The sequence below is a fragment of the Homo sapiens genome, chromosome 2, assembly GCF_000001405.40.
Source record: "Homo sapiens chromosome 2, GRCh38.p14 Primary Assembly".
Lineage (NCBI taxonomy): Eukaryota > Metazoa > Chordata > Mammalia > Primates > Hominidae > Homo > Homo sapiens.
This window is the reverse complement of record NC_000002.12, coordinates 84,811,944-84,835,397: the sequence shown is the minus strand read 5'-3', so window position 1 is coordinate 84,835,397 and position 23,454 is coordinate 84,811,944. Positions and strand designations below refer to the sequence as shown.

Below are 23,454 nucleotides of genomic sequence, written 5' to 3'. Positions count from 1 at the left end.
TGCCTATGCCTAGATTTTGGACTTCCCAGCCTCTAGAACTGTGAGAAATAAATTTCTATTGCTTATAAATGACCCAGTCTGTGGTATTTTGTAACAGCAACACAGACTAAGGCATGTTTGCTGTAACTCTAGGTCCCAGAGGCTTCAGTTTCCTCTAGTGACCTCTAGTTTTTCCTCTAGTATTTTTTGTCTTGTGCTTTCTTAAGAACCTTCTTAAATAGAGTCTGAGTCTTGCTGCACTTTCACATATAATCCACTGTTATTTTACTGGAGTCCTATTGTTGTGGTGCTAAAGTGAAGATACCATTTCATACTCACTAGGCTATAATAAAAAAGATGGAGAGTAAAAAGTTTTGGTGAAGACATGGAGAAATTGGCACCCTCATACATTGCTACTGGGAATTTAAAATGGTGTAGCCATTTTGGAAAACTGTTTAGCAGTTTTTAAAAATTAAACATGGGGCTACCATTTGATTCAGCATTTCAACTTCCAGATATATGCCTAGGAGAATTGAAAACATATGTCCACACGAAAATTTGTACACAGATGTTCATGGCAGCATTATTTATAATAGCCAAAAAGTGGAACCAATCCAACTATCCATCAACTGACATGGATAAATAAAAGGTGATATATACACACAAATGGAATACTATTTGGCCATAAAAAGGAAAGAGGTACTGATATATGGTACTACATGGATGAACTTTGAAAACATTATGCTAAGTGAAAACAGCCAGTCACAAAATCATATGATTATATTTATATGAAATGTCCAGAACAGGCAAATCTATAGAGACAGAAAGTATTCATAGATTAGTGGTTGCCAGGGGCTGGGGTCAAAACGATGAAAATGTTTTAAAATTAGATAGTGGTCATGATTGCATGATTTTCTGAATATACAGAAAAAATCACCGACTGGCATACGTTAAAAGGATGAATTTTATGTTATGTGAATTATATTCAAATATTAATAAAACTGTTATAGAAATATAAGGGGTTTGGCTCCCACATTATGCTCATTGAAAAGTTCTGCCACAAACAAACTGCAGTTTGTGCCCTCAGCAATGCCCGTGAGTATGTGGTAGTTTTCTTCTTCTGTAAGTCCTGTGTTTCATGTCTGGATTGGGCACCGTGTGCACATTTGTACTGTCTCAACAAATGGCTTCTTGGAACAAAGCTGTTAGCCTGGGCCTCACTCTTGAGGCACCGTAACAGTGGTGCAGACCCCAGATGAGAAAGTTAGGAAACAGAGCCAGTGGTGGTGTCCCAATGCACCACCCCGGGTCTGTGTGGATGGAAGGTGCCCAGGTGCTGGAGTGTGGGCTTCTGCTTTCCACCCCTGCCAGACTTAGGTGAGCTCCCAAAAACTTCCCGTATGTCCCGTGGCAGGGGTAATGGGGCGCTGGGGAGAGGGGAAAGGTCGACTGGGTTCTGGGCTGGTGGGAGGCTGGGGCACAGCTTGGTCTGAGCAGTTCGGTGGGTGGGCCCTCGTGGTGGGGGTTCTGCCAGGCAGGTGGAACAGGCAACACCAACACCTGAGCTTGCCCAGTACTCAGGGCTTGATTTGTCATACTGATGCAGGGCTAGATTGGGGCTGACAGCCCCTGGGCACTCCTGATGCCCGAAGTGCCCAGGGGCTGTGAGCCCCCATCTAGCACTGGCTCCTTCTAAGGCAAAGTTATATTCCTGTAGCTGCTTTCTCTCTGTGCCTTCTGAAGGCTAAGTTGAACAGAGGAAACTACAGAAATTGCTCCGAAACACATTACCGTGTGCTTTTAAAACTTAAAAGCTGTGTGGTTAGCAAACTTTTAATTGCAAAATGAGGATAACTGAAAATGGAAAGTACTGGAGTTTTAAAATCAAGCAGCGACTTTTGTCATGGGGATCTGGATATAAAATGCGAAGATTAGAAATGGAAATCACCTTTGCAGTAGAAGAAAAATTGAAGTCAGAAGTGCTAAGTGGAAACTATAATCACTTGTTCTAAATTGCCAGTTCCTTATTTGCAAATGAATAACCTAGGATCAGTGGTGAAAGACATGACTTTTTTTCTTATTTAGGTGTCGATCTTAAATCAGCTCATGCTGATTTTTGGCTCCTGTTTGCCAGGGTTACTTCTCCAGTGGCCTCCTCTCCTACCCCACATTTCTAGGTTACAGCTATCGCCCCTGCACTGGCAGCTGTCTAGGCTGGTCTAGGCTGTGGGGAGGAGAGGGGAGGATGGGAGGGAATGGTTTTGCCAAACTTCCCTTTCTGAGCCCCTGCTGACCCATGAACACCCCCTTTGATGCATGAGGGTGAAAATGAAAGCAGGAACCATGGGCCTTCTGCTTCCTTCTCGGGGCCTATTTGCTGTACTGCCGCAGGCTCCCAGGGTTCCCTGGTTGTGACTCCTGAGACTACAGTGGGTTTGTCCTATGCAGAAACCTCCAAGAATGACAGATCTTAGATTAGGTTGCCTTTACTTTTTCTAGAAAGTGGTGATTGGGAAGTAGCCATTCCTTCCGTCCCACCAGCCTCCCTGTTTTTTCAGAGAGCACAATTGCATTCCATCCTGTAGTTGGGAATTCCCCCCCCTCCTTTTTTTTTTAATTGAGACAGAGTCTTGCTCTGTCACCCAGGCTGGAATGCAGTGGCATGATCTCGGCTCACTGCAACCTCTGCCTCCCGGGTTCAAGTGATTCTCCTGCCTCAGCCTCTCAAGTAGCTGGGATTACAGGTGCCTGCCACCATGCCCGGCTAATTTTTGTATTTTTAGTAGAGATGGGGTTTAACCATGTTGGCCAGGTGGGTCTTGAACTCCTGACTTCAGGTGATCCACCCGCCTCGGCCTCCCAAAGTGCTGGGATTACAGGTGTGAGCCACTGTGCTCAGCTTGAATTCTTGTATTTTCTCCAGACCAGTGTCCTCACCTTTCAGGATCCTGCTCACATATCACCTCTTCTGGGAGGTCTTACCAGGTTGCAGTTTGATGTCCAGGCTATCCCCTTAGCTTTGTGACTTCAGGTAACTTGCTGCATTGTTCTGATCTTCAGTGTCATTGTCTCTGAAATGCTACTGATGCTGCCCTGCCTGCCTTGCAGGACTGTTGGCAGGCCTGATTCCAGAAGCTCTCTAGAACTGTACTGTGCTGGACAGATAGGCAGGGGGCTTGGCAGGGTAATTTCTTGGTTCTAGGGTGTGTGTTTGGGGAGTATGTTTGGTGGTCCTGAGAGCTGCAGCATTTCAGGTTGTTTTTCTCACTGCAGGTCATTTCATGGGCAACAACACAGTGCTGGATGTTTTGCGGCGTGAAGGCTATGAGGTAGAACACGCCCCTGCTGGACGACCCATCCACAAGTAACCGTCCTGTGCTTCTATCTTGGCTGGGGAGCTGAGACCCTCATGGGGCTGCCTGGGCACCAGGGTGGGCTGCTATCTTGAGGAGCTCCAGAGAACCCCTGCCTCGTCATTTCCCCCACACTTGACCTTACATGGACATTTGGCACCAGCTCAGCTGGCTCTGTGTGGCTGGGGCTGTGTCAGACGTGGTTGGCAGGATGGACACTTTGGGCTGCAGGGGCCACACTGGCGTTTTCCTCAGTGGTGTTTGGCAAGCGGGGGAAGGTGAAGGGAAGGTTGCCCAGGGGTTGAGGGGTAGGGGAAAGGAGGAGTAATTAGGCTTAATGCCCAGTGTCCTTTGCCCTAGGTGTTTTGGAAGTTTTCGGGAGGCAAAATCGGGCCATGACAGTGGTAAACAGGCCAGAGGGGTTAGGGGTGCAGGGAGTGCATGTCTCACCCTTCTCAGGGGCAGGAGAAAGCACCTTTTCTCTGAGCTGTTTCCTCCTCCCTAGGTTTATTTCTCTCTCTTTTTTTTTTTTGGCCAAACTGCCCTCTGCCCTTTCAGACCTTTCTGTAAAGAACTCAGGAGGCCCAGCCCCCAGCCCTCAGCAATGCTGTCCACCCACTGGCCTCCCAACTGGTCGTCCATCCTGGTGGGCCCCAGGTGTCCTTCCCCTTCCCCTGTAGTAGTCTGTTTGGGCTGTCATAACAACAACCACAGACTGAGTGATTTAATCAACAGAAATGCATTTCTCACAGTTCTGGAGGCTGAAAGTCCCAGATCAAGGTGTCAACGGGACTGGTTTCTCTTGGGACCTCTTTGTTTGGCTTGTAGATGGCCGCCTTCTCTTCCTGCCGGCACATGGCATTTTTTTTTTCTGTAAGCGAGCATCCCTGGCCTCTCTTCTACTAAGGACACTAGTCCTATTGGACTAGGGCCCTCATGTGAACTGAATCACCTCTTTAAAGGCCCTAACTCCAAATGGTCACATTCTGAGGTACTGGGGATGGGGCTTCAACATGTGAATGTGGGGGGCACACATCAGCCCCTAATATCCCCTCCATTCCTCTGGCCCCCACTGCCTCCCGATCTGTGGTCAGCAGCCCCCTCTCCTGGCAGAGGTCTCAGCTGTAGCGAGAGAGTTCCAGGATGCAAATGCCCATCCCCTGGCAGAGGATCCAGCAGTTGTGTCTGCCCGAAGGCCGCCCATCTCCAGCTGCCCTCTTTCTCCTCAGAAGGCCCCCCTTCACTGCACCTTGTCTCCCTGTTCCCCCTCACCCCAGAGGCTCCTGCCAGTCTCCCTTCAGGCGGGAAATCCTGGATACATCCTGGACTTCTCTCATCCCCACCTGTCTTCATGCCCTGTATTCAGTATGTCAATACTGACCGCCCTTCACAGAGCACTTTCTAGTTTACAGAAGCGCTGATGTGAGACTGCTCATTTTCCTTCTCCACCAGGCTTTTGGCTTCCTCCACTAAAGACTCGCTGGGATTTGTCCTTCTCCATTTCCATGGCCACCGCCCCCTTCCAGGCCCTTCTCCCTCTGGTTCACTCTTCGCCCTTCTGTGGGACTATTCTTTCCAGTGTCCTATATTCAAACCCTCCGTGGTTTCATGTTGTTCTTTTTCAAGGTCATTGTCTTCACGCGGAGGTCTTGGCACTCAGACCCTACCCTTCCAGCATGGATCTGCTGCTTGCTTCAGAAGAGCCTCCATCCCGTCCCCGCCTCTCCTTTACTGACGCTACTTCCCCCTTCTGAGGAGCCCTCCTCTCCTCCCCTTGACCGGGAGGATCCCGCCCCTGCCTGAGTCAGCTCTGTTGCAGGCTCACGTCTCCTGCCTCTCTCCTTCCTGTTCTCCTGCAGGTCTGGAGGAGCCAGCCCTTAGGGGTTCTCTGCGCCCTGCAGGACTGTGGGTCTTTCCTCCCTCACTGGCCTCTGGTCCCTTCTCAGCTCTTCCCGCTGGGCTGACTGGCCTGGGGTTCAACGCACTGTCCTTAGGGTGCTGGAGAGGGCCCTACCTGGGGAGTGTGTACGTGTGTGTGGTGTAATGTGTGTGGAGTATGTAATGTTTGTGTTTGTGTGTGTCTGGTGTGTGGTGTGTGTGAGGGGTGTGTTGTGTGTGATGTTTGTGTGTAGGGTTTGTGTGGTGTGTATCTAGTGTGGAATATGTGTGGGGTGTATGTGTGTGTGTGTAGTGTGCATGTGTATGGTGTGTGTGTGGTGCATGTCTGGTATGTGTGTTGTTTGGTACCTGTGTGTGAGGGGTGTGTGTGGTATGTGGGGTGTGTGTGGTGTAGTGTGGATGTGTGTGGAACATGGCTGGTGTGTGCATGTGTGGGTACTGTGCATGTGTGTGGTGCATGTTTGGTGTGTGTGTTGTGTGTATGTGTGTGGGGTATGTGTGCTGCATGTCTGATGTGTGTGTTGTGTACGTGTGGGGTTTGCGTTGTGTTGTGGTGTGTGTGGTACGTGTGTTGTGTGTGTACAGTGTGGTACGTGTGGTGTGTATGGTATGTGTGGTGTGTGTATTGTGTATGTGTGTGGGGTATGTGTGGTGCATGTCTGATGTGTGAGTTGTGTATGTGTGGGGTGTGCATTGTGGTATGTGTGGTGTGTGTGGTACGTGTGTTTTGTGTGTGTGTAGTGTGTGTGGTATGTGTGGTGTGTGTGGTGTGTGTGTGTGTGTGTGTGTGTGTGTGTGTGTGTTGCTGGTTGTTCCCAGGCTCCCTAATTCTGCCTCTAACCCTGACACCTGCCCTTGGGGAAAGGAAGGTCAGGAATCCGTCTTTTTAGAAGCTCTCTAGGAGATTCCGATGCCCAGTGAAGGCTGAGAACAAGTGTTCTCACTTCCCCGGGGAGAAAAAGAGCATTTATTGGTGGATCATCAGGTGGTAGCCAGGTTTATATGGGCTCTCTGTTAATTCTCAAAACCAGCCCGCAAGGGAAGTGTTCCTTCTCATTTACTAACGAAGAAACTGTGAAAGGCCACACTATTAACCAGGACCAGGAAATAGCACAGACCCCTCCACCTCCCAAACCTTTTCTTTCTACCCTTTCTTCTCCCACCTTTTACTTCCTAGCCTCTGTCTTTGTTCGTGCAGTTTCCTCTGCCAGAGATCCTTTCCCTACCCACACTACCCCCAGTTCTCTCTATCAGAATCTGTGAGATCCAGCACAATTGCCACATCTTCCTCCATTGCTCCAGCCTGGGTTCATCCTGTGCATGACCCCAAGGAACCTATGGTTTGTGCAAGAGCTCTCTCTTTCTTCTAGAGCCTTCCGGACAAGGATCTAATTTTCAAAATTGGATTTCCAGGAGTACCTATCCTGGCATCTGGCACATGATGGGATCTCAAATAGGATTGATTATGTGTTAATATCATTGCTGGTACTGCTCACATGCATTCATTTATTCAGCCAGTGGGGGACCTGAGAGGTTTTAGGGGTGAACGTGCATACAGTGGTCCCAGGTGAAGCCATGAGGGAGGATGAGGTCTCCAAAGGAGCTCCTGTTCAGGAAGAAGGGACAGGGTCCCGGGAGGCTAAGGGCCCAGGGAAGTGGGTTGGGGAGAATGCCCACAAAGAGGGGCTGGCAAGGAGGACCAGGGCAGTGGAGGGATACCTGTTTCCTTCTTCCCCTCCTCGGCAGCCATCTGGTAGTCCTTAAGGGATGATTCTGGTCATGTGGAACTTGAATCCAGGGCAGGCTGGTGTGGCTGGGGACATGAGGGCTGTTAAGTGGTGATTTAGCTTACTTAAGGCCCTGCCAGCTCCCTTAGTCTTGGGGTAGGCCAGTATTGGGGAGACAGAGATGGGTGTGCATGTTGGTGTGTGGGGAGGGCAACTAGCAGCTGCCACTCTCCACCTGTCAGCAGGCTGGAAAACACAGGAAATGCTCCTGAAGGTGAGGTTGCTGTTCTTAGAACAGAGAAGAGAAAGAGATGGGGTTCCTGTTGGGCTAATCTGCAGAGGGCTTAGCCAGTTCCTCCCTTCTCCCCCTGGGGTAATGGATACTATGTTAGTTTTCTATTGCTGCTATAACAAATTATCACAAACTCAATAGCTTAGAACAACACAGATTCATTATTGTATAGTTCTGGAGATCAGAAGTCTGACACAGGTCTCACTGGCTGAAACTAAGGTGTGGGCAGGGCTGCATTCCCTTCTGGAGGGTCTAGATAATTTGTTTTCTTCCCAGCTTCTAGAGGCTGCCCACATTCCTTGACTTGTGGAGCCTTCCATCTTCAAAGCCAGCAATATTGCATCTCTATAACCATTCTTCCATAGTCATATCCCCCTCTGACCACAGACGGGTTCTCTGCTTTTAAGGGCCCGTGTGATTGGATTGGGCACCCCTGGATAACCTGGGCTACTCTCCTCAACTTAAGGTCCTTAACTTAATACACCTGCAAAGTTCCTTTTACCGTGTAAGGTAATGTGTTCACAGCTTCCAGGGGCTAGGTCATGGACATCTTTGGGGATCTGGCAGATGTCCATTTGGTTACACAGCGGGGTGCTCTAAGGTTCTGGTCAGCCCTGCTAGGGTTTATACAGCTTCATTCATTCTCAGAAGACTGGGAGAAAGGGGGATGCACTTGAAGTAAGGATCTACTGTGTGCTCAGCACTGTGTGAAACATGGTGCTTGGGCTGTTTTAATCCTCACAGCAATGAGGTAGGATAGGTTAATTTTATGCAAGGGGCAGAGGCTCAGAAAGGTCAATTATCTTGTCTAAGGCTCCAAGCCTGGGGTCTTTTCCTTGTCAACCAGTGTGTTTCTTTCTTGGAGACTTCCATGAAGTGAGGAGGCTGCGTGAAATGCAGGTAGGGGGCAAATAAGCTATCAGCACAAGGGGGTAGCCCTATATTGTAGCCAAAATGACCATGGGCTTAGCTTTTGTGGGTAGAAGTTTAGCTAAACTGTGAGAATCCAGGTGGGTCAAAACATGGTAATCTAGATCTTGAGCCTGTGATGGGATCCAGCCCAGAGGCTCTATGATGGATTGGGTGTGTTCAGCAGCTGGGATTTTCTATTTGAGACAGAAGAGCAGCCACCTCTATTGACCTAGGGACCCTTAAACCCCTGTCTGAGCCCATGTGAGCATTTGTCTGTAGGATCTCCCTGGAGATTACAGTGACACTAATTTATACTCTCTATATTTTCTACAATGAGAATGGATTAGCTTTATGACCTGAAAAAAATCTCAACAATGAATGTTACTTAAAAATGGCAAAGAATTGGCCAGGCACGGTGGCTCACGCCTATAATCCCAGCACTTTGGGAGGCCAAGGTGGGTGGATCATGGGGTCAGGAGCTCAAGACCAGCCTGGCCAAGATGGTGAAACCTCGTCTCTACTAAAAATACAAAAAAACTAGCTGGGCGTGGTGGCATGTGCCTGTAATCCCAGCTATTTGGGAGGCTGAGGCAGAGAATTTCTTAAACCTGGGAGGCGGAGGTTGCAGTGAGCCAAGATTGTGCCACTGCACTCCATCCTGGGGGACAGAGCAAGACTCCATCTCAAAACAAAACAAAACAAAAGATGGCATAGAATCCTTCTTGGAACCTTGTGCAGGTCAGTTTCCTCCCCCTGGTCTTCAGTTTCCTTAATTGTAAAGTAGGTGTTATGATTCCTCAGGACTCCTTAACTCACAAATATAAGGGAGATAAAAACCAGGAAGAGTAAAGCTAATTCCTTCCTGATCCCTACTCTCCAACCCCCACCCAGGGCTATTAACTTGGCTCTTAAGCCCTGGCCTTGGCTACCTGGAGTTTCTGGGGTGAGGTCTTTGTTTGTTGTGAGTTGAACAGAAACAAAGCTATGATTTGTCTCACTGTGAGGATCCACTGTTTCAAACCATAGAACACAGCCCTAGTGAGTTAGAGACCATGTTCCTCACTAAATCAAAGCAACAGACTTTTCTTGAGTGCCTACCATGTACCAGGACCTGTTTGGGTCATATGGAGGCCAAGACATAGTTTCGGCCATGGGCAGAGGGCTTGATGGGCATGGAGCTACCTGATCATCTGCTCTTGAACCCTCTAAGACAGTGGCCCTCAACGTTTTTGGCACCAGGGACTAATTTTGTAGAAGAAAATTTTTCCATGGATCGGGGAGGGGGGGATGGTTTTGGGATGAAACTGTTCCACCTCATATCATCAGGTATTAGTTAGATTCTCATAAGGAGTGTGCAACCGAGATCCCTGGCACACACAATTCACAACAGGGTTTGCGATCCTATGAGAATCTGATGTCCCTGCTAATCTGAGAGGATGTGGAGCTCAGGTGGTAATATGGTTGCTTGCCTGCCACTCACATCCTGCTGTGTGGCCCAGTTCCTAACAGGCCACAGACTAGTGCTAGTCCATGGCTTGGGGGCTGGGGACCCCTGCCCTAGGAGGCCACCTGAATCCTAGAGAGCCATGATGGGGGCACATTCCCTTTCTGGGCTCTAGTTTCTTTGTTGTAACAATGAAAGGGTTCATTTAAGTGGCTTCACAGTTATGTACCAGGCATTGCGCTGAGCTCAGGAGACAGTAATAATATATTAAGCCCTGTCCTCCAGGAACCTTCTAGCTATGAATTTATGTTTCTGGGGTCCTTAGTCTCAGGTTCAGAGTAGGGGCATTTTTTAATCCTTTGCCATTTTAGGAATTCCCTTCTTTTAACTTTTTTGCCCAATATAAGTCTTTCCCTTTTTTGCTTTCCTTCTTGTATACCTCCTCCCTTCCTCACACACGGCCATTAATACTAACTGACTTCTCAGGTTCTGCCATGTCGTGGCTCAGAACTGGGACCCACTCTGGTAAGGTAGATGGTTCCTCAAGGCTAAGTAATTGAGTTCTTACATGTGCTGGTCAGTGGCACCTACATCATTGGACGAGGAAAGCCCTAGACATGGCGCATCCACTGCTCCCCTTCCTCAGGCAGATGTGAGTTTCAGGACTCTCACTACCTACCTACATCAGGAGACCAATGGGATTGACATCTAGTAGAATTCTTCTCTTTCTGCTCCCCCATCCCCTTCACCAAACCCTTGACAAAAGTTCTGTTGTTGGAAGAAACTTGGTCCTTATAGTAGCTTATTTCTTCACTCAAAGAAGTATTTGGTGACTATAGTCACCTTTAGGGGAAAACTAGAAGTCAGTCTGAGTTTCCCATTAGTTGTGAAAATCTCTCTTTGGGAAAGATGATTTAAGAACAAATCTGCAATTAAGTGGTTAGAAGACAGCCCTGAGAGCCTCTTCCTGAATAAAGCCCTCATGAGGGTTCAGAAAGTGTTAAGAGGGTTAAGAGCTACTTCAGTGGTTTTAAGCAAATGGCATTTAAACATTTTCCATCTGTCTTTAAAAGCTTTACTGTTCACTAGTCAGATTCGTGACATTTGCTTGTATTTGGGAGGCTGAGGTGGGAGAATCACTTGAGCCCAGGAGTTTGAGGCTACAGTGAGCTATGATTGGGCCACTGCACTCCAGCCTGAGCTACTGAGGGAAACCCGATCTCAAAAAAAAAAAAAAAAAAAAAAGCTATAATTGTCAGTGTCTTTCTAGACAGTGCTGACCTGTTCATTGTTGGAAAACTACAGTAATTACTGTACATGTAATAGTTTAAAAATCTTGGATCTTTCTCCCCAGGACTAGGGGATTTGGAGAAGGTAGGGTGAGGATATCTGAGGGGAAAAAAAAGGCGTCAAAGAGATAAATTCCCAAGGTAATTTCAAGAACTGGGTAATTTCTGCCCTTCCTGGCCAGCTTGAACTTTCAGGTTATCTGCCTTTGTCTTGAAACCCTGAGGTGTAAGAGAGCTGGGGAGGGCGCCATGCTGTGTGACCCTCCTCCAAATACCTTCTCCTTCCACTTGCGTACAGAGGGAAGAGTAAAAAGACCTCCACACGGCCCACTCTGTCCACCATCTTTGCTCCAAAAGTCCCTACCCTGGAAGTACCGGCACCAGAAGCCGTATCCTCAGGGCACTCAACGCTGCCTCCCCTTGTGTCCCGGCCTGGAAGTGCCGACACGCCCAGTGAGGCCGAACAGAGGTTCCGGAAGAAGCGGAGGCGGTCACAGCGGAGGCCGCGACTCCGGCAATTCAGCGATCTGTGGGTCCGCCTGGAGGAGAGGTCAGGCGAGTAGGCTGGGTCGGGTTGGCATCCACCTTTACCCTAGTGAGCGGACCCAGGAATGCCCCTCACACTGGTTGCAATGGGAGCCCCCCTCATGGAGCAACCTTTCCCTTTCCTCATGACCCCAGGCACCCTTTTTCTGTCCACTGTGACAGAAGCGAATCCAGATTTAAGATAGTTGCTTCAAGCCAGGGCAAGGGCAACATGTTTATGCTTGTTAAAGAACAAGTTTCGGGGTAGGATGAGTCTGTTAAAAGTGGAAGGCATCTGGAAAGGTTGCAAAGAACTAGATATTTCATATCTTTCTCCATGGCAGACTTAGGGAGAATGTCATAGACTTGCAGAGCTGGAAGCAGCTCGGTAGGAATGGGCATGTTTAACCCCCACATTGTAAGGGAAGGGTCGTGACCCTACACCAAATGTAGTCTCAGAGATGGCTGGGGAGTAGACCAGAGGTGGATAGGCGAGCCTGAGTCTGCAGGGCACAAGGCTTCTGGAAGAACTACCCCAGAGAGGCTGGGAGCAGGAATCCAGTTAAATTAATCTCAGCCTTATTGAGTCCCTCCTTTGTGCCTGCTGTTGTGTCGGATGCTATGTGTGTGGGGCCAACCAGACACGGGCCCTGCCTTCATGGAACTTGCAGTCTGGTGAAGAAGATGGATTTTTGAATAGATAATCTGCAGTGGAAGTGTAAGCTGCTGTGGGTGTGTGTGTTTGTGGTGCATGCATATGTGTGTGTGTGTTGGAGGTTACTACTTAGGGTCAGAGGTCAGGAAAGTCTTCCCTTGAGGAAGCATCCTTTTGGCTTATACTGAGTAGAAGCCAAAGTGGAACCTTGTGAATAGAGCTTCTGAGTCTGGATCAGTAGACGCAGGGATTCAGGGCCTGCACAGGTGCTTAATAAATGTAGAATGAATGAGTGAGTGAGTGAACAACTGAATAGGGAAGGAGAAGAGTTGAAGGCAGAGGGAACAATGTGAAAGCCTGGTTGGAGGGAACGATTGCGTTAAAGAAGCTGAGATAAAGTAATTCTGGCTGGAGCCTGGGAAGTGAAGGAGTAATGGGGTGAGATGTGTCCAGAGAGGTAAACACGGAGGGAAGTAGGGAGCCATTGAAAGGTTTGAAGCAGATATGTGATATGCTGTGTGATCTGCATTTTAAATGGACAGAAGCTGGCAGCCAGATGGGACCTGGAGAATGGGGACAGCTTCTGATGGTGTTCATGTCCCAGGGTGACTCATGAACCATCCTCCATTGACAGAGGAATAAATTGACCTGTTTAGTACTTTTTCAAACAAGGCCATTGGTGACTACGGGGTTGGGCACTTTATACCTCAGCTGAGTTGAAAGATCTGGGTAAGCCTGAGGTCATGGGCCCCTCAGCTTGAACTGTCTTGACCTGGTATGCCTATATGCTGTGCACATCAGGCCTGGACTTGGGCAGATGAGAGAGGCAGAGACCCAGGGAGGAATCTGCATGGTCTGGCTCTGCCTCTGTGGTGGCCAGTGAGGAGGGTCCCTGCCTAAGATTGCCCAGAGACTAATGTTAGCAAACTTTGAATTCGGCCTTATACGAAGACTTTCACTAATCTTTGAATAAAGAGCCAAATAGCCAGGGACAGTTAGCCAGTCTGCTGGTCTTAATATCCTCTGCCATTTGGTTTTCTGGTAGCAGTGGCCAAAGACATGAAAGAGGGCCAGAGATATAGGAAGCCTATTAATATACTAATACCCATTCCTGTCTATAAGGAGGGGAGATGAAGAGAAGCTGTGTGGGCATTTGGGGGCCTTGGCGTGTGCAGTGGTTTCTGCTGTGACTTCAGACTCTGTCTTTCTCTTTGCCTCCTAGTGACATAGTCCCGCAACTCCAGGTCCCTGTCCTGGACAGGCACATCTCCACTGAACTGCGGCTCCCTCGCCGTGGGCATTCCCACCACAGCCAGATGGTGGCCAGCAGTGCCTGCCTGTCTCTCTGGACTCCTGTGTTCTGGGTGCTGGTGCTGGCTTTCCAAACAGAGACACCCCTCCTGTAACGACTGGAAGCACCAGGCTAAGAACCTGACCCCTCGGACTTGAAGAATGGCCATTCCTGTACTCCACATTCTGGTCTAGCCTTGTTGGGCCCAATCCAGAAGAGACTGCTCTTGAAAAAGCGGCCCAGTGTTGATTCTTCTCTTTCCAAGGAATGTGACTTTGGGTTATCCAACTTTGGGGGCAGGTGTACAGTTTTGTAACATAGTGAGTTGTGTGAAAATAAATTATAAATGAGTTGTATGAAAATAAATACCTTTTTTTGTATAGATTTTTATTCATGATATATATATATATCAGGCAGACAACTTCTTCTCTCACACCCTCTGAATCCTTCCACTGCCTCCCCCTAGGCCCTGCACTTCTCAGCTGCAGCTCTGATCCCTTCAGGCCCTGGCTTTGTATCCTGACCCTTTCTTCTTTCCACTCTCTTTCTTTGTGTCACTCTTGGTTCTGGATGCAGGGGAGTCAGTGGGCCACGGAACTTGTGGTCTGCACCTCTCTATTCAAGCTCTGGTGAATAGGGTGCTCCCTGTGTCCTGAGAGATGCTTTTATTTTGTATAATGTGTGTGTCTCACTGACATGCTGGAGGCTGGGTGGGGGGGTTGGGGGGCGTGGGTAGGCTTTGTCAGAGGTGCTGTGCAAGAAAGTGGTTTTCAAACTACCCCCAATCCCCATTTTGTTATTTATTATTTACATGTTTATTGTCAATGTCTTTTCTAAATACAAATCTTATTGGGACTCTATAAAATGTGTAAGAGTAGAACTTCCCCAGTTGAATCTGAAATGGGAGCTTTTAACCCTGCCCAGGTGATCTCCCTCCCCTAACCACCATGGTTCCAGATCAGGGTCTCCCACCTGTGGCAAGTGTCCTTTATGGTCCTGGGCCTCTGAATAGCCCATAAAAACCCTGGGTAGAAGGTCTGTCCAGGACTTGGGTGGGGTCAATAAGAAGTAGTTGTATTTGTCCCCTAATCTGGCTTAGGGTAAGGCTGATTGCCTGGGTTTGTAGCTCTGGCTTCCCTTCCTTTTCTGAGGCTTTTGTGGGTTCATGTTCAGTTATTTCTAGGGCCCAGAAGATCTCAGTGGCCTTACTAAAACGGTGTGATGGCACTCAGGACCCATGTCCACCACTTTGGTTCCATTCTGCACCACCTGTATTGCAGGCGTAGGCGGGCAAAAACTCCCAAATCCCCTCGCTGCTATGTTCGATTCTCCTAATGAGATACACTCATGGGATATTTGGAAAACAAAAGTGGGCAGAGGGAATTTTTCTTGAGCAGGGGGCGTGGTTATGTGCAGGCTTCAGCAGACACAAGTTTGTGCAGTAGCCAGTCTCTGCAGCCCCCTCTATTCCCCTGCTTCAGCGTGAAGTAGCTGTGAGGTTGGCATAATTTTTCCTTCAGGGTTCCCACCTTGGAGTACAGATGCTGTGATGCCTGATATCAACTCTTTGACTTCTGCAGTGGCAGCCATTCCTGTGCCCATGTTAGTACCTATTTCTGCTTGAAACACCAAGAGTAGTTTCTGATTTGTGCACTGATTTCTGGTAAAAGTGGTGTTCCCTGCTTCTCTGCGACTTGAGTCTGCTCTTAACTTCGATAGGTATGGGGATGAAGTGGGGAGGCAGAGATAAACTGGGAGGGTAGGATCACTGTGGCTGACTCTGTTCCTCCAATTCTTTGTAAGAGGGTGGTATGGCTCCTACCAAGGGCTCAATCCTAGCTGGGTGATTTCCTTGTTTCTTGGGTCACATTATGGCCGAGGAAGCAGGCAGACCATTATTGGCAGGACTGACACAAGATGGTTTGTCACAGTGGCTGCTCCATTTGAGAACTGACCCACCAACCTCTGCTTTTGAGGTGGCAGAGGCTCAAATGCACCTGGCTGGGACTTGGTTAGTTTTCACACAGATTCATCCTAAAGTGGAAGGGGAAAATCCTCCGTACTTGGGCAGGATTGGCCTGCCCTTTTGTGAAAGCACAGGCTCTTCCAAGGATTGTGATGAAGCCCCACAGAACAGGGAACTGACATCATAGGCCAACTTCTTCTTATCCTGCTCATTTGCTCTACCAGTTGTGCTCACTGCATCAACCTCCCATGCACTGGACTCTGAGAGCCTTCATCTTGTCTAGAAATGGAAGCACCTGGGGCCTTTCATATCAGGGTGAAGAGGAAAGGAGCCTGTGAGGGGAAGCGAGTGCTGAGTCCTTACTCTTCCTGGGGGTCCCAGAAAGTAACTGATGGGAAGCTGCCTCTCACTTAGGGTGGGGGAGCAGGCTTAACAGGTGGGTTGTTGAACCCACTGCTTCTACAGCAGAGCTTGGATTGCCAACAGAAAGAACTCAAACACTTTATTTTAAGGTCATAAGAGAAATAAAAGTCACAATACGTTTAAGTCAAATCAGAATTAACACCGTTTTGCTCACATATAAATTATTCAAACCTTTTGCTCCCATTAGGAAAGATCTCTGGCCTGGTTCTTTTTCAGGGCTGAGGTGGCACCTTTTCATTCGCTCAGCTGGCAGAGCAAAGCTGATCCCTTGGCAATCCAGTAGTCTTTGGACCGCTTGGAGGGTAACAGGACGGTTACCACAAAATTGGTTGAATGTCCTAATTAAGGATATAGGAAAAAAAGGTTGTTACTTAAGAGAATAACTTCCTCATACAAAGAGAGAGGCTACAAAGAGTCAAGACATCTGGGTTCCAGGCCTGACTTGCCCCTAAAGATGCTGGACAAATAGTCCTTTATGGGTCTGTTTTATGCTCTATAAAATGAAGATTTTAGAACAAATAATTCTTTAGGACTTGTCCAGCTTAGACTTCATAGAATTTTTTTTTTCGAGACAGGGTCTCACTCTATCACCCAGGCTGGAAGTGTAGTGGCGTGATCTCAGCTTGCTGCAACCTCTGCCCTCCTGGGTTCAAGTGATTCTCCTACCTCAGCCTCTTGAGTAGCTGGGACTATAGGTGCGTACCACCATGCCTGGCTAATTTTTGTATTTTTAGTAGAGGCGGGGTTTCACCAGTTGGCTAGGCTGGTCTCAAACTCTTGGCCTCAAATGATCCGCTTGCCTTGGCCTCCCAAAGTGCTGGGATTACAGGCATGAGCCACTGCACCCAGCCTAATAATTTCTTAATAACCAGGATTCAAATGAGTTTCATATCTTGCAACAGTGATGTGTCTCTTAAATCTTTCAATTGGTAGGTTTCCCTCTGCTTCTTTTGCCGCCCCCTTGTAATATATTTGTTGAAACAACCAGACTGTTTGTCCTGTTAAGTTTCCCAGAATCTGGATTTTATGACAGCACTGCTGTGGTGATTTTAAATATATTCCTCTCTTCCTGTAAGGGGTGGTTAGATCTAGAGGCGTGACTACATTCAGGTTTGAGGTTTTTTTTCCCTTTTTTTTTTTTTTTTTTTTTTTTTTTTTGAGATAGGGTCTCATTCTTTTGCCCAGGCTGGAGTGCAGTGGTTTGATTATGGCTAACTGCAGACTTGAACTGGACTCAAGCGATCCTCCTGCCTCAGTCTCCCAAGCGGCTGGGACTACAGGCGTGTGCACCACACCTTGCTAATTTTTGTATTTTTTGTAGAGACGGGGTCTCGTCATCTTGCCCAGGCTGGCAGGTTTGAGTTTTATGGCAAGAATAATTCTTAGGTAGTAGGTACTTCTATCAGGAAGCACATTATGTCTGATTGTCTTTCTTTTTTGGGATATTAGTGGCCATTGATGACTACTACATAGGACTACCCCTCTTTTAAATAGCTGAAAAAGAGTTTCTTTTGATCCTTGTACAAGATGGGGTTTCTGTCACAGTTTCAGATAATGTTAGTTTGTTGGTCCCCTCTCCTTACTGATTTGTAAGAATTCTTTATGCCAGGCTTCTATAGTTTGGATGTTTGATCCCTCCAAATCTCATGTTGAAATTTGATCCCCAATGTTGGAGATGGGGCTTAATGGAAGGTGTTTGGCTGATGGGGGTCAGATCCCTGATGAGTAGATTAATACTCCTTGGAATGGGGGGTGAGCTGTCACTTTATTAGTTCTTGCGAGAGCTGCTTGTTAAAGAGTCTGGCGCCTCCCTCCCATCTTGCCTACTTCCTCTCTTGCCATGGGACCTCTAAACACCAGCTCCCTTTTGTCTTCTGCTATGAGTGGAAGCATCCTGAGGCTCTCACCAGAAGCAGATGCTGGCACCAGCCTGCAGAACCATGAGCCAAATAAACTTTTCTTTAAAGTTACTCAGCCTCAGGTATTCCTTTATAGCAACACAAACACAAACAAAGACAGTTGGATTTTTTTTTTTTAATTGAGATGGGGGTTTCACTATGTTGCCCAGGCTGGTGTTGAACTCTTGGGCTCAAGTGATCCTCCCACCTTAGCCTCCTGAGTAGCTGGGACTACAGACACATGATACCACACCTGGCTAGACAGCTGGATTGTTTTCAAAATAGAAGGTCAGTGATGATTAATTTAGCGCCTCTGTATGTTCAAAACTGTCTTTATTCACTTCCCTTTTGAAAGATGGTTTGGTTGTGTTTTGAATTCTGGTTCAAAGGTATTTTCCCTCAACCCTTTGAAGGTGATTCTCCATTATCTTTTTATATGCACGGTGGATAATGGGAGTTGACTGATATCAATCTGATTCTCATTCTCTGGGATTTCAGTTCCAGCATATATTATACATTGTCTCTTCTCTTTGGTTATTTTGAGCATTTTTTTTTTTTGGTCTCTGACAGTCTTAAGTATCACTTTGGTATATCTAGGTTTCTTTGAAGATTTGATTACTTGTAGGTTGCTAAAAATCATTCCTTCCACTTTGTGAGACCTCACAATCTAATGATTCAAGTGTTTCTTTAGTTTTGGGAAATTACCAGCCATTATTTTTTCAAACATTCTCTCTCCTCCATTCTTTATTTTCTCCTTTCAGGTTACCTAGAAAACAAGAAAAATGTTGCAATTTCTGGCTCCTTCCACAGGGTCACTTCTTTCCCCTCTCACTGTGCTGTATTCAAGGCGATTTTCCCAGTTCATTCTCTCTTCTCATTCTTCAGCTGTCCCTTGGTGTATCTGTTGAGGTGGCTTTCTTTCTGTCTGGTTTCTTTTTTCAGGGCTGTATCTCAGTTTCAGATGCACTCAGAGTTTTGCATCAGGGCTGTCCATTTATTCATTTGTTTATTTACTTATTTATGATGGAGTTTTCGCTCTTGTTACCTAGGCTGGAGTGCAGTGGCCCAATGTTGGCTCACTGCAACCTCCGCCTCCCAGGTTCAAGTGATTCTCCTGCCTCAGCCTCCCAAGTAGTTGGGAATACTGGCACCCGCCACCATGCCTGGCTAATTTTTTGTATTTAGTAGAGACAGGGTTTCACTATGTTGGTCAGGCTAGTCTTGAACTCCTGACCTCAGGTGATTCATCTGCTTCGGTCTCCCAAAGTGCTGGGATTAAAGGGGTGAGCCACCTTTCCCGGCCTATTCATTTATTTTAAAATTTCTTTTATGATGAGTAAAAATGGATTTAGTGAGAAAAAAGAGATTTTCGTGTCTATTCAGGCCGCCATTTTGAAAGTGGAAGTCTCTACTTGTTAAACTCTATTTTCTACTCCTTGGATTCTAATAGAAGCAAGAATTAATTCTATAATATTAATCTATACTCAGAACAAATAGAATTTATAATTACATTTACGAATTTTGTATGTTATAGGTGGCTTCATTTTAAGTCTAGTTTATTGGCCCAAGGGAGATCTTGAGCCAATCACAGCTTAGTGTTTGGACTTTGATTGAAGATTGCATTTGGTCATTATTTGAACTAATCTTAAGAACATCCTCACCTGTGGTTGAGAGTGTTCCTGCCCGGGCTCCTGTTTTATAAAGTGGGCAGTGGTAAAGTGTTGGGCTTGGCTTATAGTTTTGTTGTGGTTCAAAATGCACCACAGGCAGCACTGGATTCATCTGTCCGGGCAATGCATCTTCTATCACCATCTCCTTATCATCCCATCGAGAAGCATCCATGAACATCCCATGAACAAGAACACCATCCTCAGGAGAGGGCAACTGAAAGATACCCACAAGTCTCAAAGTGAGATGGGGGAAAAGGGATCAGCAGGTGTGAGCCACTTCCTATGTCCCACATCCTCACCAGGTAATTCTAAAAAACACTCTATACATTGCTGTTATTATTCACATTTTAGAGAGGTCAATCCTGAGGCTCTGAGAGGCAAAAAAATGTAATAATAATGTGATGACTTTTCCCCTTTTCATGGGAGGTGGAGGAGTACTGAGATCATCGTCTGTTATTCTTAGCAAGGTTTTTCAAGGATTTGGATGCCCTCCTAGAAGACAGATTATATATCTGCAATAATATTTGCAGAGTGCCCATGGACAATTCCTTTTTGTTCTTTCTCTCTTTTTTAAAAATTATGCTTACTTTTAAATGTTTGTATTAAATAAGAAAGAGGGAGAGGGAGAGACCCTGCCCATCAGATTCCTGTGATGTGATTGGATGTCTCCACCGGTGCACACTTTTTTTTTTTTTTTTCCAATTGTGGGCATCTGAGTCATCCTTCCTCAAACCCTGAGTGGATTTGGCCATTTCTGGCCCGAGGTCTTTGGATAATTGGAGCCTCACGTCTGCAGGCAGAGGACTAAGCTGTTTGGATAATATGTAGTGCATTTTATAGTGAATAAAAGGATGGTAAACTAAATTCTTTTTAGCTGGTCTTTGCTTTTTGGTGTCCTAACCTTTCTGTTTCTTGGGTGCAGCAGGATGGGACTTCCTGTTTTTGGGCTGCACATATGTTTATGCAGGTTTGCCTGAAAACTATCCTGCTACCTACTGGGTGTCCACCAACTGGGCATCACCCAGAGGGAGCACCTTTTCCTATGCTGCGCCAAGGCGGCAAATGGGCTGACAGTGGTCTTGCCTGTTTGCAACAGAGATAAAGCTGTTTAAACACATACCCTGTGTTTAGACCAGTATATGTGCTGGTCACATGACACTGGCTGTTTCTTTCACACCACACTACTGGCCTGTCTCCTGGTCTGTTGGTGGCAGACATTTGCTAGGTGGGCCAGGAGACAGGCCAGTTAGACAGTCTGAAGTCTCCCCAGATCTCAGAGATTGTAAGGCATTGTCATGGCTCAGCGCACATGACCCAAGCAGAGACATGGTATGAACTAGGGTGGAGGGACAGAGCCCTGGTGGTCACTGTAAACTTCTGTCTGTCAGAATCAGCCTCTGTGGCAGATGGAGTGTGCTGAGCATGGACCAGGGCAGGCTGGTCCCGGAAAGCTCCGGTGGGGGCTTTTATGTGGGTGTTGCTTTACCTTCCTGGAGCCTCAAGTTTTCCTGACATGGGAAAGTTGACACTCTCTTCTTAAGACAAGAAGGATCTTAAAATAATATGAGGTGCAGACATGTTAACAATTGCTCCAGCACATGCAGCTGGTGAAAGGTAGTGTCAGAATTCAAACTCAGGCTTCTCTCGTTTTTAAACCCTTGCTTTTAACTTCTTGCTATATTGATTCTGTAAGATGAAGAAGGTTACTAAAGGTAGCTAAAAAATAAAAAAAATATTGCTTTAAAAATATTTCTATAACTTAGACTAGTTTAGGCAGTTCCCATCTGGTCATTGCTAATTGGGGAGCTTATCTTGGAGGTGTGATTACTACCCTGCCCTTCCTGCTCCTGCCAATGGGAGGTGGTGGGGGAGTGGGGCATGGAAGGTTGTCTGAAATCTTCAAAGACAGTGGGATAGAAGCTGCTTTGCCATAACAGCCAGGTGGACAATACCTCCATGTCCATGGGCAGTTCTTGTCCAAATTGCACTGTCTTGGCAGCTTCTATCACTGCAGCTTGATCCCGATAGGTGGGAATTACGCTGTATTTGAAACTCAGCTCATCTATAGGCAAATTGTATTTTCGAGCATGATTTTGAAGAGTTCCTGTAATTGTGAAAATCGGAAAGCTGCGTTCAAACAACACTGCTACTCCCCAGGCACTATTCCCCTTCATCCAAACCAGGCTGCCCTGGCATTAGAGAGCCTTCCCACCACAGAGAAGACCCAACTCTTAATACCTTCCTCTGAGTTAGTTCACAGGGTCAGGAAGCCTGCGGGTCATGTTGGGAGGTAAGGGCCCAAGGGATGGACAAGCTCTGGTCCTGGCTGGGAAGGGAGGGAAGGCCAGTGTTCAGTGCATTGCCCTGTCATGAGGGAGACAAACCAGTGAGGCAGTTTCAGAGCCCAATCTCGCTAACTTTAGGATTTTGCCCAGCTTGTTTTATATGGGCTGTTTAATAGGTATTAAGAATGAGAGAGATGAAGGGCTTGGGTAATTAGCATTGAGTTGCTCACAGGCTCTAGCCCCCTCTGAGGCTCTCTAGCCAGATTCCCCAAGAGCTGATGGAGGCACATCAAGAGAATTTCTCAGAGGGAAGGGAGCTGCTCACAGCTGGGGCCTGAGCAGGTGGACAGCAGTTGATGCCCTTGAGCGTGGGTCATATGGGGAACTGAGGCACATTCTGTGTTTGTGGAGGCAGCAGTGCCTGCACTTATGTAACCTGAGAGGGGCAGGGATTAGGTTGTTGGGGAACATCTGCTATCTCTGCCATCTTTCCTCTGCCCCCCACAAGTGAGGAAGAGCACGACCTTGTTAGATTGCCCTATGATCAATAGCCTCATTGCTAGAGCATTAGCAGCCATGTCATTTCCCCAGCACCTCAAAACCCTGTGTATGAGAAGTCATGGCCATTCCTATGGGGTTTTTCTAGAAAGCGCTGGTACCTGTTAGAAATCCTTGAGGAAAGAAGAAACCAGAGATCCAGTAGGACTTAGGCTGTCCTCTTTTGAGCCACAGCTGAAGGAGAAACATATTCATAATAAACGTTATTTCTGGGATGGAATTTGTTTTCTAAAGCAAAGTCCTATTTGGGGAGAGTTTCTCAGGAGGCAGAATCTAAAGCAGCCCTGAGTTAGTCACCACCCCCATTTCACTGCCTGCCGCATTCCCCTTCCTGTTCTGCCAGCCTGATGACTGTGGACACAGAGCCTGGTTATTGTGGGGTATGTGAGAGGGAGACAGCAGCAAAGTTATCTGGGATCTGGACTCATCTTGGTTGGTCTATACCTCACTGTGGGGTCCCATGAATTAGAGCTGAAACCCCAAGGATGCCTGGAATTAAAGTGGAAGGTGGGGATGAGTGCCTAGGGCAAACGATATTATAATCAGTATAAGACTTTTAAAGTGATGCCATTCTGGACATCTCTTTTTCTCTGGGCTCAGATTATCCATCAGTGACTGTGGATATCTTTAGCCAGTGCTTCCTAGGGACCTTAGGCCAACTATGCCATCAGATTCATCAAAACCCAGTGAAAGGAATTTTCTTACATCCACAAATGAGGTCCTCAGGATAAGGTCTTTGACCCATGATCCTAGTGGCTTCAGGGATGGGTAGGCTGTGTTGGACCACAGAGCGGGAACCTGGTTGTTGAGGAAACTGTTATACACTTTTTCCATTTCTTCAGACATCACCACAAATCCAGCGATGGCTTTGTTGAGTGTTTCCAGAGAAGTCTGAAAGAACAAAAAAGGGGTTGGTGGCCTTTGCAGATGTCATTATCCAGTGTCAGTGACACACATTAATGACAGCAGGGGCTGCCTTGCCTGGAGGCGCCAGTTGCTAGGTTCTATCCTCTTTGCACACTGTCTGCTGGGCCAGACCCTCCAATATTTCACGCATTACTACAATACGTGACCGTTGCGGTGTAACACTTGAGGGTGGCAGTTGAAAGCAGAGTCCAGTGCAGTGGAAAGAAGGAAGCAGAAATGTCTCCTGAAGCCTGGAGAAGTGGCTGGGAGAAATGCCACTGTCCAGCACTCCTCCAGGCCAAAAGAAAAATAGGCCTGACTGTGATTTGGGAAGCACAGAGTGTGAGGAGGAGGGGGAGATGGGGAGTGAGAACCACCTCAT

At 47.2% G+C, this 23,454-nt stretch overlaps 2 protein-coding genes across 14 annotated transcripts in view, besides 2 other annotated features; one reads left to right on the top strand and one right to left on the bottom strand.

Annotated features, from left to right (window-relative positions):
• The window catches only part of TRABD2A (TraB domain containing 2A), a 59,419-nt gene extending 45,687 nt beyond the window's left edge, over positions 1 to 13,732 (top strand). For both annotated transcript variants that reach the window (NM_001080824.3, NM_001277053.2), the window contains 3 exons: positions 3,253 to 3,343; positions 11,194 to 11,445; positions 13,298 to 13,732. In NM_001080824.3, coding sequence (NP_001074293.1) covers positions 3,253 to 3,343; positions 11,194 to 11,445; positions 13,298 to 13,481 — 527 coding nt within the window. In that variant the 3' untranslated portion in view covers positions 13,482 to 13,732. The remainder of the gene's footprint in view (positions 1 to 3,252; positions 3,344 to 11,193; positions 11,446 to 13,297) is intronic.
• The window catches only part of DNAH6 (dynein axonemal heavy chain 6), a 360,018-nt gene continuing 352,372 nt past the window's right edge, over positions 15,809 to 23,454 (bottom strand). For all 12 annotated transcript variants that reach the window (XM_011532650.4, XM_011532649.3, XM_006711956.3 and 9 more), the window contains 5 exons: positions 22,872 to 23,057; positions 22,268 to 22,340; positions 21,276 to 21,427; positions 19,315 to 19,537; positions 15,809 to 16,093 (listed from right to left, as the gene is read on the bottom strand). In XM_011532650.4, coding sequence (XP_011530952.1) covers positions 15,990 to 16,093; positions 19,315 to 19,537; positions 21,276 to 21,427; positions 22,268 to 22,340; positions 22,872 to 23,057 — 738 coding nt within the window. In that variant the 3' untranslated portion in view covers positions 15,809 to 15,989. The remainder of the gene's footprint in view (positions 16,094 to 19,314; positions 19,538 to 21,275; positions 21,428 to 22,267; positions 22,341 to 22,871; positions 23,058 to 23,454) is intronic.
• Positions 17,798 to 17,947: a silencer, noted in NCBI's record as "silent region_11687". NCBI's record gives its function as "represses an Ori minimal core promoter by ATAC-STARR-seq in GM12878 lymphoblastoid cells {active_cell/tissue: GM12878}" and the evidence as "EXISTENCE:reporter gene assay evidence [ECO:0000049][PMID:35858748]".
• Positions 18,098 to 18,147: an enhancer, noted in NCBI's record as "active region_16101". NCBI's record gives its function as "activates an Ori minimal core promoter by ATAC-STARR-seq in GM12878 lymphoblastoid cells {active_cell/tissue: GM12878}" and the evidence as "EXISTENCE:reporter gene assay evidence [ECO:0000049][PMID:35858748]".